The 14775-nt window shown below is 46.3% G+C and overlaps 1 protein-coding gene and 1 pseudogene across 7 annotated transcripts in view, besides 2 other annotated features; one reads left to right on the top strand and one right to left on the bottom strand.

Annotated features, from left to right (window-relative positions):
- SETD2 (SET domain containing 2, histone lysine methyltransferase) overlaps window positions 1-9711 on the top strand; it is a 148405-nt gene extending 138694 nt beyond the window's left edge. For all 6 annotated transcript variants that reach the window (NR_146158.3, XM_024453487.2, XM_047448045.1 and 3 more), the window contains 3 exons: window positions 6307-6387; window positions 8408-8509; window positions 8893-9711. Coding sequence is in view for 5 of the 6 variants with exons in the window: in XM_024453487.2 (XP_024309255.1) it covers window positions 6307-6387; window positions 8408-8509; window positions 8893-9054 (345 nt within the window). In the remaining variant the exon portion in view is untranslated. The remainder of the gene's footprint in view (window positions 1-6306; window positions 6388-8407; window positions 8510-8892) is intronic.
- Window positions 6653-6732: a silencer, noted in NCBI's record as "silent region_14303". NCBI's record gives its function as "represses an Ori minimal core promoter by ATAC-STARR-seq in GM12878 lymphoblastoid cells {active_cell/tissue: GM12878}" and the evidence as "EXISTENCE:reporter gene assay evidence [ECO:0000049][PMID:35858748]".
- Window positions 12680-14605, bottom strand: NRADDP (neurotrophin receptor associated death domain, pseudogene; annotated as a pseudogene). The gene is made up of 4 exons (NR_024046.1): window positions 14563-14605; window positions 13636-13826; window positions 13382-13524; window positions 12680-13314 (listed from the first exon to the last, which is right to left on the bottom strand). The product of NR_024046.1 is annotated as a neurotrophin receptor associated death domain, pseudogene (transcript).
- Window positions 12839-13338: an enhancer, noted in NCBI's record as "H3K4me1 hESC enhancer chr3:47054299-47054798 (GRCh37/hg19 assembly coordinates)". NCBI's record gives its function as "activates a minimal SCP1, AML or CMV promoter by ChIP-STARR-seq in primed H9 embryonic stem cells {active_cell/tissue: H9 hESC(primed)}" and the evidence as "EXISTENCE:reporter gene assay evidence [ECO:0000049][PMID:30033119]".

Below are 14775 nucleotides of genomic sequence, written 5' to 3'. Positions count from 1 at the left end.
TCCATGCCCACGTTTTGATGGAGTTGTTTGTTTTTTTCTTGTAAATTTGTTTAAGTTCTTTGTAGATTCTGGATATTAGCCCTTTGTCAGATGGAAAGATTGCAAAAATTTTCTCCCATTCTGTAGGTTGCCTGTTCACTCTGATAGTAGTTTCTTTTGCTGTGCAGAAGCTCTTTAGTTTAATTAGATCCCATTTGTCAATTTTGGCTTTTGTTGCCATTGCTTTTGGTGTTTTAGACATGAAGTCTTTGCCCATGCCTATGTCCTGAATGGTATTGCCTAGGTTTTCTTCTAGGCTTTTTATGGTTTTAGGTCTTATGTTTAAGTTTATAAAGCAAGAATACAGTGGGGTAATTGCTATAGTAGAAGAAAGTATGAAATGCTTTGGGAACAGAGAGATACATGGTTTGAGATGTATAGGAGTACAGTTTCACCTATAGGTAACCAGGACTGAGTATGCTAGGTAGATAAGGTGATTTTTTGCAAAGGCTTAAGAAAGAACAAGCCAGTATATATAGGAGACTGAAAAATAATTTGGTTTGGTGAGAGTTTGGATGCATATAGGGAAGTTAGCAAGACAAAGATATGGAAAAGTAGGTTAGATTTAAATTGTCTGAAGTCTTAGTGCTTTGCTAGTATGGTTAATGTAATGTTGTATAATAGGTACTTGGGAGTCAATAAATGGTTTTAATGCAAGGGAGTCAGACAGTCAAATGTGTGTCCTTCTAGTGAAATGGGCTCATTAATAAAGGTGAGATCAGTAATAGTGAAATCAAATTGGAGAGTGTTAATAGTTAGGCAAAGTTAGGAACTACGACTGGAGATGCTGGGGAATCTTGCCAAGACTGAAAAGCAGGATTGAGGGTTTAGCAAACAAGTGAGTAAGGGAGTCATGGATGGCCTGCACCCTCATTCTTAGCTTGGGTGGATAAGATCCCATCATTCAGCCTAGGGAATGAAAGAAAGAGGAGGAGGAGGTGTGGAGATTAAGTTCATTGTGGAGTTTGAGCTCCCTGCAGTGGCTGCTAGGCAGGCAAATCTGGGTTTGAGTCATCAGTAAATTGGTGCTTGTTGGAGACAGAGCTGTATGGAGTGACATAGGGAAGGCATATAATGGTCAGATAATTCTTTGAAGAGTGCTGTCTGGTAGTAAAAGCTTTTGATGATGAGACTAAACATTGTGAGACTGTTCCTTTTCTCTTTTCCATCCATTGTTGTTCCCTTCATTGTCTTGTACTCACCATCAAGATAAGTGTAAGTGGTGGTAAGTGTAAAGTGTAAAGTCAGGTCTTCCCTTTGAGCACCTCTGACCTGAATTATTACTACTTGCACAATTGAGGCAGCAGTTTATTTACTGCTGCCTCCTGGCTTTTAATTAACAGTCATAAGGTATAATAGATCTCCTCTAACTATGTTATGTTAAAATAGTAGTTTTAGAGTATTTGTTGCATTGAGGGAGTTGCAGAGAGGTGGCATCAAGAGCCAATGTATTTTTCAAACGGGGTCTTGCTCTGTCGCCCAGGCTGGAGTGCAGTGGTGTGATCTGGTCTCACTGCAACCTTTGCCTCCCAGGTTCAAGTGGTTCTTGTGCCTCAGCCTCCGAATTAGCTGGGATTACAGGCATGCACCACCAGGCCCAGCTAATTTGTTTGTTTGTTTGTTTATTTGTTTATTTGAGACGGAGTCTCACTCTGTCGCCCAGGCTGGAGTGCAATGGTGTGATCTTGGCTCACTGCACCCTCTGCCTCCCAGGTTATAGCAATTCTCCTGCCTCAGCCTCCCAAGTAGCTGGGATTACAGGCGCCTGCCACCACGCCTGGCTAATTTTTCGTATTTTTAGTAGAGACAGTGTTTCACCTCGTTAGCCAGGCTGGTCTCGATCTCCTGACCTCGTGATCCACCCGCCTCAGCCTCCCAAAGTGCTGGGATTACAGGCGTGAGTCACCACGCCTGGCCTTTTTGTATTTTTAATAGAGATGGGGTTTTGCTTTTTTGGCCAGGCTGATCTCAAACTCCTGGCCTCAAGTGATCTGCTCGCCTCGGCCTCCCAAAGTGCTGGGATTATAGGCCTGAGCCACCACATCCAGGCTATATAAAATTTGTTTAAGAAATAAATAATGTTGAAAATTTCCCATCTTGAGAGAGGGAAATAGGCATACGGATTCATGAAGCCTAAAGGATCCCAAGTAAAATCAACCAAAAGAAGAATACCTTGAGACACATTACAGTTGTCACTCTGTATCCATAGGGGATTGATTTCAAGACACCCTATCATGGATGCCAAAGTCTAAAGATGCTCAAGTCCCTTATATACAAGGGCGTAGTGTTTGTATGTCACCTACGCACATACTCCCATATGCTGTAAATCACCTCTGTGTTGCGTATAATACCCAATACAATGTAAATGCTATATAAATAGTGGTTATACTGCATTGGGGTTTTTTAAAATTGGTTCTTATTTGTATTATTTTTATTGTATTTTTTTTCAATATTTTCTATCCATGGCTGGCCTACAGATGCAGAACACCAGCTGTACTAAGTTTTTATTATTTTCAATGATCTTAACCTTTTAAAAATTGACATGTACAGGTTCATGTGCTGCAGAGCTTAGGTTGAATTGTGTGGATAGTGTTTATGATGGCTCAGCTTCTCCTCCTGCTTCTGGATTCATGCTGCCACAAAAGATGTAGTTCCTCACTGAATGATTTACATTTTATGTTCTAAACAGTATTTTTTTTTTCTTTTTTGAGACAGAGTCTCGCTCTGTCACCCAGGCTGCAGTGCAGTGGCACGATCTCAGCTCACTGCAGACTCCACCTCCCGGGTTCAAGCAGTTCTCCTGCCTCAGCCTCCCGAGTAGCTGGGATTACAGGTGCACGCCGCCGCGCCTGACTAATTTTTGTATTTTTTAGTAGAGACGGGGTTTCACCATCTTGGCCAGGCTGGTCTCGAACTCCTGACCTCATGATCCACCCGCCTCAGCCTCCCAAAGTGCTAGGATTACAGGCATGAGCCACCGTGCCCAGCCCTCTAATCAGTATTTAATTAAATACAGGGAGAGAGAAGTATTAGCTGGGTATGTCCTGCTCTGCCTTTGTCAGGACTCATTTCTGTAACTCAAGCCATACCCTCTTGGTTCCAAGTCACATGGGCTTTGTGACATAGTCATGTCAATATTTATAATAAAGGGTGATTCTGTTGTGTTACACAGCCTGTGTATGGTTACCAGAACTGCCCAATAAGCTTAAGGCCATTGCCAACTAATCCAGAAGGTCTCAAGCTTCACCTTGGGTAATATAAAGGTACTCAGGCCTGCCTTGTCATAATCAGAACAGATTTCCTAGGAATCCAAATGTGCCACAGGTGAAGGCTGACAGCAGGGTCAGCTTCTAAAGGCAGTAAGCTCTGGCTTTCTGCCAGGCCCTTTGCCTGCTCATTTCATTGTGTACTCTTAACTGTCCACGGCCTCACATAGATTTCCACCAGAATCTTTAATTGACTGATACTCTATATAAGCCAACACAGAGAAAAGGCAAACTGATTATTGTTTATTGCTGAGGATCTGGAAGCACTCGCTTTTTTATGTATCAGAGCCCCTACCCTGTTCTCTGGTGGTTTCCTTAAAAGTGCTTTTTTTCTTTTTGGAGACAGCATTTCACTCTGTTGCCCAGGCTGGAGTGCAGTAGCATGATCACAGCTCACTGCAGCCTCAACCTCCTAGGCTCGCGCAACTCTCCAACCTCAACCTCCCAAGTAACTGGGACCACAGGCATAGCCACCATGCCCAGCTAATTTTTCAGTTTTTTTATAGAGATGCTGGTCTCGAATTCCTGGGCTCAAACAATCTCCCCATCTTGGCCTCCCAAAGTGCTGGGATTACAGGCATGAGTCACTGAACCCCACGTGCTAAATTTGTGTGTGTGTGTGTGTGTGTGTGTGTGTGTGTGTGTGTGACAGATTGTTGCTCTGTCTCCCAGGCTGGAGTGCAATGGCATGATCTCAGCTCACTGCAACCTCCACCTCTCCCGGGTTCAAACGATTCTCCTGCCTCAGCCTCCCAAGTAGCTGGGACTACAGGCACAAGCGATTCTCCTGCCTCAGCCTCCCAAGTAGCTGGGACTACAGGCACGCGCCACCACGCCCAGCTAATTTTTGTATTTTTAGTAGAGACGAGGTTTCACCATGTTGGCCAGGATGGTCTTGATCTCTTGACCTCGTGATCCGCCCTCCTCCGCCTCCCAAAGTGCTAGGATTACAGGCGTGAGCCACCACACCCAGCCTTACCTGCTAAATTTTTAAATGGGACTTTTTTGGAGTGGGGGGTCCTAAGGTTGTTCATGTCAATAACAAGTGCTGTCCTCAACTCAGACTCTGGTTACTTTGCCTGGCATTAGATTTGAGTAAATGTTAGCCAGTTTCTGAAATTATTTCCCATGCCATTTGCAAATCACAGACCATGAAGAGAGGGTTTCATGAATTTCAGTACTCTCAAGAGTATTCCATTTTGGTTCATGATTTCCATGATGTAAGTCTGGGGACCCCTCATTTTATCATTTCCTTTCTCGATCCCAATTGCTCAGCACTCAGGAGGACCAAGAAAGCTCCTAGACAGAGCTCAGTGGATTGTATTCTATAATTGTGTTTTTAAAGGCCACCCCCCACCAATCCCCCGCCAACCTCATCAAGTCAGGGATTAAATTATAAATCTATTAAAAGTGCTTTGGGTTCATTTAGCTTTGTGAGTGCATACCCTATCCAGAGTGAAACAGGACATTTCTATTTACATAGTACCCTCGCTGAGAGCATGGCCTCTTCTATAGGACCCAGATCTTTGAGATACCCAGACCTGAAGGGGCTTTCTGTACTCATTTCTGTTGCTGCTGACTTCTGAGAGCTACAAGAGAGTAGCTGGGGATGTGTTGAAGTTTTCTTGACTTACTCAAATAATTCTTGATCCCTTGCTACCTAAGGTCTTACTGTGGAGCATACTCATACCATCTACAACTGGGGGAAAAAAAATAACAAAATCCCAAAGCAAAACACTTGAAAATAGACTTAACTTATATTATTAGCATTATTTTTGCTTAGTTTTGTTTTCTTAAAAAACAAATTGGATCTTTATATTCTTTTTACTCTACCCCCTAATCTCCCCATACAGCTACATGAAGAAATTGGAAAAATAGAAAATACGTAAAGCTTTTATGACACAGCAGAGAAAGTTGATTTGTAACAGCCTAAAGCCAAGGGAGTGCCACCTTTCTCTGGAGCTAGTCCAGCTGCTTTAGAACCAGAGCCTTCATACTGTTTATGGAAATGGAAGAAGCAGAACCAGGAGATGGGTGGGGAGCAGGAAAATTATTCTACCCTGTGCCCCTAACAAAAAAGTGTGAAGTACCTATAATATCAACTCCAGCTTCTAGATCCATTATGAAGTAACTTATATTTGGAGGGGAATGCTCATAATTATTATTTTCCGTGGAAAAGCACATTTACTGGGAAGGGGCCTGATGGCTAGTGGTGGGCAAAGGTATGGGGAGATGGCCTGCATGACAGGTGCTCTGAATACCAAAGCTTCCAACTCATCGCCTCCTGGTGCAGTACCTAGTTAGAGGGAACTTGGAAGCCTCCCTCTAGCAGTGCTGGAAGGGAATGTTCCTGGGTTTGTCATTATCTTGCCAGCTGGGGACATAGAGTATCTTCTGTGTCATCATCTACTTATCTGTTCACTGGCTTTGATGACCTTCATCACCTCCCCGTCAATATCGTGATACTTCCTTAATCTTTCTGTTCCTAAACTGAAGGTACCAACCTCCAAGGAGCCTCTCTTGCATACTGAGACTGTCTTCTACAGTCTAGCCAACTCCACCTTTGGAGGAAAGGTGATGAGTATTCAAGAGTCTTCAGAACAGAGCATTTCGCCTCTGTCCTGGAATCCTAGAGTGTCAGAGGTGGGAGAGATGGAGCTTGTTTTGTGCCGGCCTTGCTTGATAGTTCAGGGAGCTGAACCCAGAACAGGGACATGAGTGACTCTGAAATGTGTGGCTATATCAAAGTTGTAGCTTTGACTTAGGGTAGAGAATTGGAACTTAACTTATAAGAAGGAGAGCCAAACCATGTAACAGGATTTGAAACATAATAGCCAAGTTGACTCCAGGCCTTGTACCTGAGTCAGGGCCTCTAAACGGATTCTAATACCAAGAATCAGGTATCCCTGCTAGGGGAAAGAAAGGAGGGTTCTGGGACAGTAGGGCATCACTAAACTGACTTCTCATGCCAGCACCACTGTGTTTTCTCCTCCATTTTTAGGCCTCGAAAAAGCCCAAGACAGCAGAAGCAGACACCTCCAGTGAACTAGCAAAGAAAAGCAAAGAAGTATTCAGAAAAGAGGTAAGGTTTGGTGGATATAAGCACTAAGCTCCTCAGGCTTAAATCTGAACCCTTTCATTTCTTGTCCTAAGTATGTCGAATATCTCCTTTGCCCCAAGATAGGCAGGAACACAAGGTGTTCCTTGTGTGTATGTCTTGCTGAAGTGCTTCTTTTAGCACTGAAAACTCCTCAGCCATCTTTTCTTGGCTTGACAGGAGCCCCTCTCAGACCACATTTGCTTGTTTGACTGTGGGCCTTCTGTAGCATCTATGGCAAAAGAAAGCTGTCTGTAGTGGTAGGCTGCCTTGTCTTTGGGTATTCCTCTTGCTTCTGTGATTTGACTTAGTTGTTATGTGAATGACACATTGGTGAAAGAGGTGTGGCCTTTTTCAACTGGTTAAGCACTTCAGTACCCATTGACTCATTTTGTCCCCACAACAGCCCTTGAGGTAGGCAAGACAGATTGCCTTTCCTCTTATTCAGGTGAAAGAACTCTTAAGGTTCAGAGAAGGCAAGTTCTAGACAAAAGATTTGAACTCAGGCGTTCTGGCTCAAAGTCCAGTTCTCTTTCTGTAATATCTCATTTGGTAGCTGCCTAATTCTCCAGGGCTTGGGAGAATGCTGCTCCTTTTTATGCTACCAGAAGTGTGTCTTACCAACCATCAAGACACTAAACTTGTCTGCTTCATAGCATCTAGGTTCTAAACTCCAATCTTCATTCACTGAAGGGGCTTGTAGTGTTTTGGAAGAAACAGACCTGTAAATAAGTAGCGACAGCTGTGTGAAAAGTATGCCATATTAGGGCTGGGAGCCACAATCTGGGCAGTCAGGAAGGGCGCTTGAATCAGGGGTAGGAATTGGCCAGATGGATCAGCAGGGGATCTAACTTATATCAATAGAATGTACAGAGGCAAGAGAGAGCATCTTCCCTTCCAGGGAGTTGTAAGTGGCCTGATGGGCTATAGCACAAGATATGGGAGGGCTGTTGAAAATGAGGTGGAATGGTATTGTTCTTCTTCATATAGGAACTATGTGTCTGTGGGTTATCGGGAACCATTGCAGAATTTTAAGCAGGGGGTAATGAAATCCCTATCTGTGTTTGAGGGGATAGACTGAAGGAAGAGAGTTTGGAGGCCAGGAAACCCCAGAAAAACCTTGAGTTAAAAGGCTTATGCAGGGATAAAATTTAGTTTCTTATGGTCCCTTTGTGAACATACTGGTATTTCAGCTCATTGAACCAGCAGCTGTTTATTTAGTGCCTACCTTGTGATATAGCCTTGTTCTTTGAACACCTGAAGGCTCACTGAATTTTAGTGATGGGTAGACTTTGTTCAAAGTGCTCTCTGATGAAATGGCTATGACTGGCCTCTTTATTCTCTTTGTCCCCTATGATCTTAGCACCACAAATACCTCTGAAGGTCCTATTCCTAGAGTGTTTGGGAGCACCTGGGTAGGACAGACCATACTTAGACAGCCCAGGGAGGACATAGTAAGTGGTGGAAGGAAAAGGATTCTGCTTAGGTTTTCCTTTGCTGGCTGTCATATCATGCTTCCATCTGCTTCACATGCTGTGGTATGACCACTTAAAGAATCTAAGTACCCTTCAATGACAAAATTCCTGTGGTTCCTGGGATTGCTAAGCCTCATAGAAGCTCTGGAACACCTGCTGTGCTCTGCCTTGCCTCCAGGGCCCAGAGAACCCAGCTACTGTCTTTATGCCAAGGACACAAAATTCATTGACTGAAACCTGGGGCTGCTGAAGGACTCAGCATTGAAGTCATGCTGTTGAGTCCCTCCAGCCTCCTTTAAGGCTTGCTTAGTCCATCCAGGGGAGCTCTTTCCCTCTCAGGCTGAGCCCGTATCCTTTTCTCAGATCTTACTGGCTTACTAGTATTCCACTGTCCAAACCAGTTAACCTGAGGGAGGAAAAGGAGAAGGATTGGCTGGCTTTACTCACTACCTTTTCTAGTTATTTCCTCAGTACAACTCCTTGCCCTCTCTGGACTGTTGAGCAACGTGTTCTCTTTTCTCTGCCTGCAGATGTCCCAGTTCATCGTCCAGTGCCTGAACCCTTACCGGAAACCTGACTGCAAAGTGGGAAGAATTACCACAACTGAAGACTTTAAACATCTGGCTCGCAAGGTACTCCCCTTGCTTTTGGTAGCCCACCAGGCAATGTTCTGGGCAAACTGTGTACCTTCTAAGAAGCCCTTTTCATCATAGAAAGTATTTTTTTTTTTCTTGTCAGATGTCAGAGCTGGGGACCCAGGAACGGGGAGGGAAGGTTTGGGGAGGGATGCGTACCTTACATGACAGCAGTAGTTCTCTAAGAAATTTTCAGAGCTCAGCTTGTCCTTTCTGGTGATCATAGCACCAGCCTGCCCCAACATCTACCCCCTTATTAACTTCCTGTCTTGGTGAGAAGGGCCCTGAAGCAGCAGGCTGGATTACCACCCCTGTCCTCCCCCTCATATAATTTCTGCTCTGATTGGTGGCTGTGGTCTCTCTTCCTGTGCCCTGGACAGCTGACTCACGGTGTTATGAATAAGGAGCTGAAGTACTGTAAGAATCCTGAGGACCTGGAGTGCAATGAGAATGTGAAACACAAAACCAAGGAGTACATTAAGAAGTACATGCAGAAGTTTGGGGCTGTTTACAAACCCAAAGAGGACACTGAATTAGAGTGACTGTTGGGCCAGGGTGGGAGGATGGGTGGTCAGGTAAGACAGACTCTAGGGAGAGGAAATCCTGTGGGCCTTTCTGTCCCACCCCTGTCAGCACTGTGCTACTGATGATACATCACCCTGGGGAATTCAACCCTGCAGATGTCAACTGAAGGCCACAAAAATGAACTCCATCTACAAGTGATTACCTAGTTGTGAGCTGTTGGCATGTGGTTAGAAGCCATCAGAGGTGCAAGGGCTTAGAAAAGACCCTGGCCAGACCTGACTCCACTCTTAAACCTGGGTCTTCTCCTTGGCGGTGCTGTCAGCGCACAGACCCATGCGCATCCCCACCCACAACCCTTTACCCTGATGATCTGTATTATATTTTAATGTATATGTGAATATATTGAAAATAATTTGTTTTTTCCTGGTTTTTGTTTGGTTTTCGTTTTGCTTTTAGCCTCTACATGCTAGGATCACAGGAAGACTTTGTAAGGACAGTTTAAGTTCTCCTGCAAGGTTTAATTTGTTATCATGTAAATATTCTAAAGCAGGCTGCCTTGTGGTTTTGGCCAGCCTTGTGCTATGTTGATAAGATTGATTTACTGCTTAAAATCACTTTACTTTATCCAATTTTTACTGAACTTTTTATGTAAAAAAATAAAATCAATTAAAGAACTTGGCATGTGTGTTCCCTAAAAGTTAATCAAGCATATTTGTGTGTAATGATGTCACTGGAAGAAGGAGAGATAGTGAGTGGCCTTAGGTGTGTGAAGTCCAAGGTTAATCCCTGTGATTGGATTTTATTACAGGACTTGTTCATTCTCCACAGGTCCTACTATGACTGGGGCAGACATTTGCACATTTGCCAGGTGACTGACACTTGTAGGCTTGGGATCTTTTGGCTGTGCTCAGGCATTGGGTCAATTTGCACATGCATTCCAGAGCAAAAGAAGCAGCATCTAGGGCCTCTTTGGCACTAGGCTTCTTTATTTTGGTTAATTATCAGTCAAGAGAAAGGCAAATTTATCTTCTCCCTTGATACTTTCTCCTGGCTGGAGAGAAGCATTGAATCTTTTCTCCCCCATGGACTTGATTTTTCTGAGCCCACTGGAATGCTTTTTTTGGGGGGGGGTGGGGGAGGGGGGTGGGGAGAAAGGGTCTCGCTTTGTTGCCCGGGCTGGAACGCAGTGGTGTGATCATAGCTCATTGCATCCCTGAACTCCTGGGCCCAAGCAGTCTTCTTGCCTCAGCCTCTGGAGTAGCTAGGACTATTAGCTAATACTTTTTAAAAATTTTTGTAGAGACACAGGGTCTTGCTATGTTACCCAGGCTGGTCTTGACTTCCAGGCCTCAAGTAATGCTCCTGCTTTAGACTCCCAAAGTGTTGGACACCTGGTTTGAAATGCTCATTTGATGTTTGGGTTCCCTAGCTTCCCACTGTGCTCCCTAACACTGGGGTTGGACACTAGAGGACAGGATAGGACCCCTATAAAAGAGGTATAGTGCACAGGTTATGATGATAGTGAACATTTCCAGGAAGATGCAGGGCTTGGTGAGAGACCTCTCTCCCACTTGTTGGATCAGTTATCTAGGCAGTGAGGAAGGCTAAGGGCTTCAGGCCAGACTGGGCCCATCTTTGCAAAAAGGTTGGTCCCACCTGTTTCTCACCAGGGTTATTCTGCCTGCTGCAGCAGTGTTCTTGAGGTCAGGTCAGGTTGTGGCCTGCCAAATCTTTGGCAGGGTGAGTAGCAATTAGAGCAGTCACTGCCTGCTAGGCACTGTGCTGAGCACTTAGAGCTCAGGTTGTGGTCACAGTCCTGAGGCACAGGAATTGGCACTATAATGAGGAAAACTAAGGGTCAGAGAGGTTCAGTAACTCTTCTAATATCCTCATATTAAAGGAAGTGTTAAAAGAGGGGAAAATCCTTATTTTAAACTTAGACATGCTATTGTTTTCTCATGATACTGCAGCCTTCAAAACTGTAAAGCACTTTTTTTTTTTGAGACAGAGTTTCGCTCTTGTCCAGGCTGGAGTGCAGTCGCACGATCTTGGCTCACTGCGACCTCTGCCTCCCAGGTTCAAGCGATTCTCCTGCCTCAGCCTCCCTAGTAGCTGAGATTACAGGCATGCACCACCATGCCCGGCTAATTTTGTATTTTTAGTAGAGATGGGGTTTCTCCATGTTGGTCAGGCTGGTCTCAAACTCCTGACCTCAGGTGATCCACCCATCTCGGCCTCCCAAAGTGCTGGGATTACAGGCGTGAGCCACCACGCCTGGCCTAAAGCATATTATTATATCACATGCGCAGATGGTAATTTGCTCAACCCTCTTAACGTCTTGGAATTATGTCTGTTACAGAGAATATTTTAGTTAATATGCTTAAGCACATTGAAAGGGGGCATTTCTTTTTCAGTGGGTTTACAGTGCAGGGGTACAGCCACATGCACTGCTGCTTGCAACCAAATCAAATGCATGGTTTTGACCCAAATCTCCAGGTTATGATGTCTCCAGCAGCTGGTGCGTATCTTCCCTGCTTTCTCTCCTGATTCTTCAGGGTTATTGCCCTAAGGTCATCTGAGGAGGAAGGTGGCTATAAACTTCCGGTTCTTCCTTAGTTTAAGGGAAAGATTTACAGAGTATTAAGCAGCCCTGGTCAACTATTTCTGAGGGTAGCAGTAGCAGCAATCTGATGAGCTTGGTACTCACAGAGTAGTCAATCTTAGTTGCATCTCATTTTAGCAGAGGGACAGGATCTACCTTGGGCCCCCCTAGACCATGACTGGAACCCATGTCTTCTGAGTGAGTTTGGATGGCTGTGCTTCTGAAGCCTACTTATGCTGATAGATGCCAGGATGGTAGCCATTGTTCCTTCCTAGGCAAGGCTTGTCTTTTATAGCACCTTCTTCAAAAGGCACTTATTGTGCCAACCTACCTGCCTCCCCCTTTGGGGTGGGCATATGTATGGAGTGCATATGCATGGACTTGGCTGCACCTGCCTTGTCCTGAGCTGCCCAGGAGACCCACCTGTCCTTGGCATGTGTAGCAACCACATGAGCAGATGTGGAAGTACATTTGGAACTCCTTGTCCTGAGTTCAGGTCTTGTAAAGAGAGCGTTTTCTTTTTTCTTATCTAGAGGTGACCTGAGGCCCTTGGTAATTAACTGCCCAGGACCAGCCTGCTTCTTGCCTCCTGTCTAGAGGAACAGGCCTCCAGCCTCCCCTTGGTGCTGCTCATAGAACAAGTCAGGAAAATGATCTCAAACCCAGGGTCCCTCAGCACCAACCTGGGAGTCTTAGGTGTGGGGGAAACTACTGAATGTGTCACTTAAACTTACTGTTCTCCAGCTAAGGAAGTTGATAAAATACCAAGGTAAAATAATCAGCAAGGTAAAATAATCAGCAAGGTAAAATACCTTCCAAACATGATAAAGCCAGCAAATGGTAGTAGGCGCAGGATATGAACTCTGATCTGTGCCTCCAGAGCCCATGCATCCTATAGGATCACACTGCCTGCCATCCCAGGTGCTGCTTGGAGAGGCCCCTCCCACAGCCTAGGGACCCCCACCCCTTTTCTGGGCCTCTGCCTCATAGCCACCCACTCAACTGTCTCACAGGCCCAAGGAGCCAGATAGAGCCAGCGGAAAAGTCCGAATCACCTTTAATATGGGTTACAAAAGTAGCAAAACCAGCTGAGGCTTAATAAGAGGAGGTGGAGTAGGGATCCAAAGGGCAGAACCACTCCTCACTGCCCACTCCCCACCATATCCTGGGCCCTCTTCTGGAGGGGATGGGTGGATAAGGGGAAGTGAATGGTGGCTGGATCTTCGGTTTTCTTCCCCAGAACAGAGCAGGCTGAGCCCAGCAACCCCAGGAAGCCCACAAAGGGAAAGATATATGAGATGGGGGTAGGGGAGCACCGGAGCAGTCTCCGAGAGTGCAGGCTATGGAGACAGCACTCACACCACAGAACAGCCCTCAGCTTGGGGGCCCAGGACCTGGACCACATCTTCCTGGCCCATGGCAACCAGGGCATTCTCTAGCACCTTGTGGGTGGCACCACTGTCTTCTTGGATAGCCCAGTCCCTCAGCAGTGTGTAGGCTCACACCTGGCCTTGGGCCATGATTTCTACAGCCTCAGCTTGGTAGCCCAGATGGTCTGCCAGTCCCCGCCAGCCCTTGTCAGGTTCACGTGACACCTCTAACAGCCGCTCCACTTTCTCCTGGTGCTGCCGAGGGAGATCAAGGTGAAGTCGGCACCCAAGCTCAGGATGTGGTCCTGGGGCAGGAGACATGAGGATCACACAAGGGCTGGGTGGTGAGGCAGTTCTGGGAAAGGGGCTCACCCTGGCTGGGGGCACAGGGCTCCAGACTGCTAGGAGAGTCCAGGAAGACACTGCTATCCCCATGCATCTGGTCCTTGTTGAGACCTCCCAGCTCTGCAGTTCGAGCTTTGGCCAGCTGCTGTCTTTGTTTATGTGAGCGCCAGCTGTGGGGAGAAAGGGAGACCTACCAACCTGCCCCCACCTTCAAGACAGGGAATTGGTTGGGAGTCCAGACAGGGAAGGGGGTGCCACAGGGCAGTGCCCAGACCACCTACCACTTGAAGGCCATGTAGGCAAGCAGACCGAGGACCACAGTGGCCAGAAGGGTACAGTAGACTGGGATGATGCTGCCTGAGACCTCTTGGAGACTCCAGGAGGAAAGGGGAGGAGGTATTGGGGGCCAGGGCTCCTCCTGCCCCTACCCATACTCCTTCCCTGTCCCTCTCCTGCCTCCTCAGGATCTTACCTGTGGAAGAAAAGACAGATCAGGTCAGGAGCAAGGAACAAAGGCTAGGGTCCCTGGGTAGCCTCACCTAAACTTTGTTGCCAAAAAGATTTGAAGCCAGTAGTCCCTACTATTAGAGTCAAAAGCTTATACCACAGCATCAGGAGCTGTCTGGCCTATTTTTCCATTTTCATCTACTTCTTCCCCTTTGCTTACCACTCTGGACACCTTGTCCTTCCTAGATGCACCCTGTTCTCATAACCTTCCAGACTTCTGCTCTTGCCAATCTCCCTTCTCCATCTGACATATTGGCAAGAATCTTCTACTCTGGGAAGACTTCTTGATCTCTTCCTTTTTGGGGTCCATTTGCACCTCCTGTCTACCACGGCACTAAATCCAATTTTTTTTATCCAATTATCCAGGGCACAGGAAGAAAGACCATGGCACTGTCTACCATGGCACTTGTGTCCTGTCTCCGCCACCAAGTCTGGACTGTGAGGGCACATTGATTCATGTGGTCCCCACAAGCATCTCTGTGCAAAGGAGGCCTTGTAAATTTTTGCAAAATAAAGCTGAACTGGAAAGGAAGTGTTGTTGCTTTCTTCTGCCTGGAAGCGACTTGTCCTTCCAATCTAGTGCAGTCAGGGCACACGGGGCAGAGACTCCAGAACCTGTGGCTGGACTTGGGTGTGACCTACCCACTTGGGGTACCTCCCAGCCTGCCCAGTGCCCATGATCTGGATCAACGGATGCTTACCCACATAGGCCAGGACTTTGCTGTGGCTAGAGTTGTGAATCATGGCTCTGTTAGTGGTTAATACTCCTGGGGCTGTTTCTTGGAGAAGACGTTAGAGAGTTTTAGGCAGCGCCCAGGCAGGGGAGCTGGGAGCTGCTTCTCTCAGTCCAAAAAGGGCTGTGTGCAGGAGGAATATGGGGGAAATCTCCAGGCCTGACGTTGGCAGTCCCTTGG

This window comes from Homo sapiens, chromosome 3 (genome assembly GCF_000001405.40).
Source record: "Homo sapiens chromosome 3, GRCh38.p14 Primary Assembly".
Taxonomy (NCBI): domain Eukaryota; kingdom Metazoa; phylum Chordata; class Mammalia; order Primates; family Hominidae; genus Homo; species Homo sapiens.
Note: the sequence above shows the minus strand (reverse complement) of the source record. Positions and strands in the feature narration are given on the sequence as shown.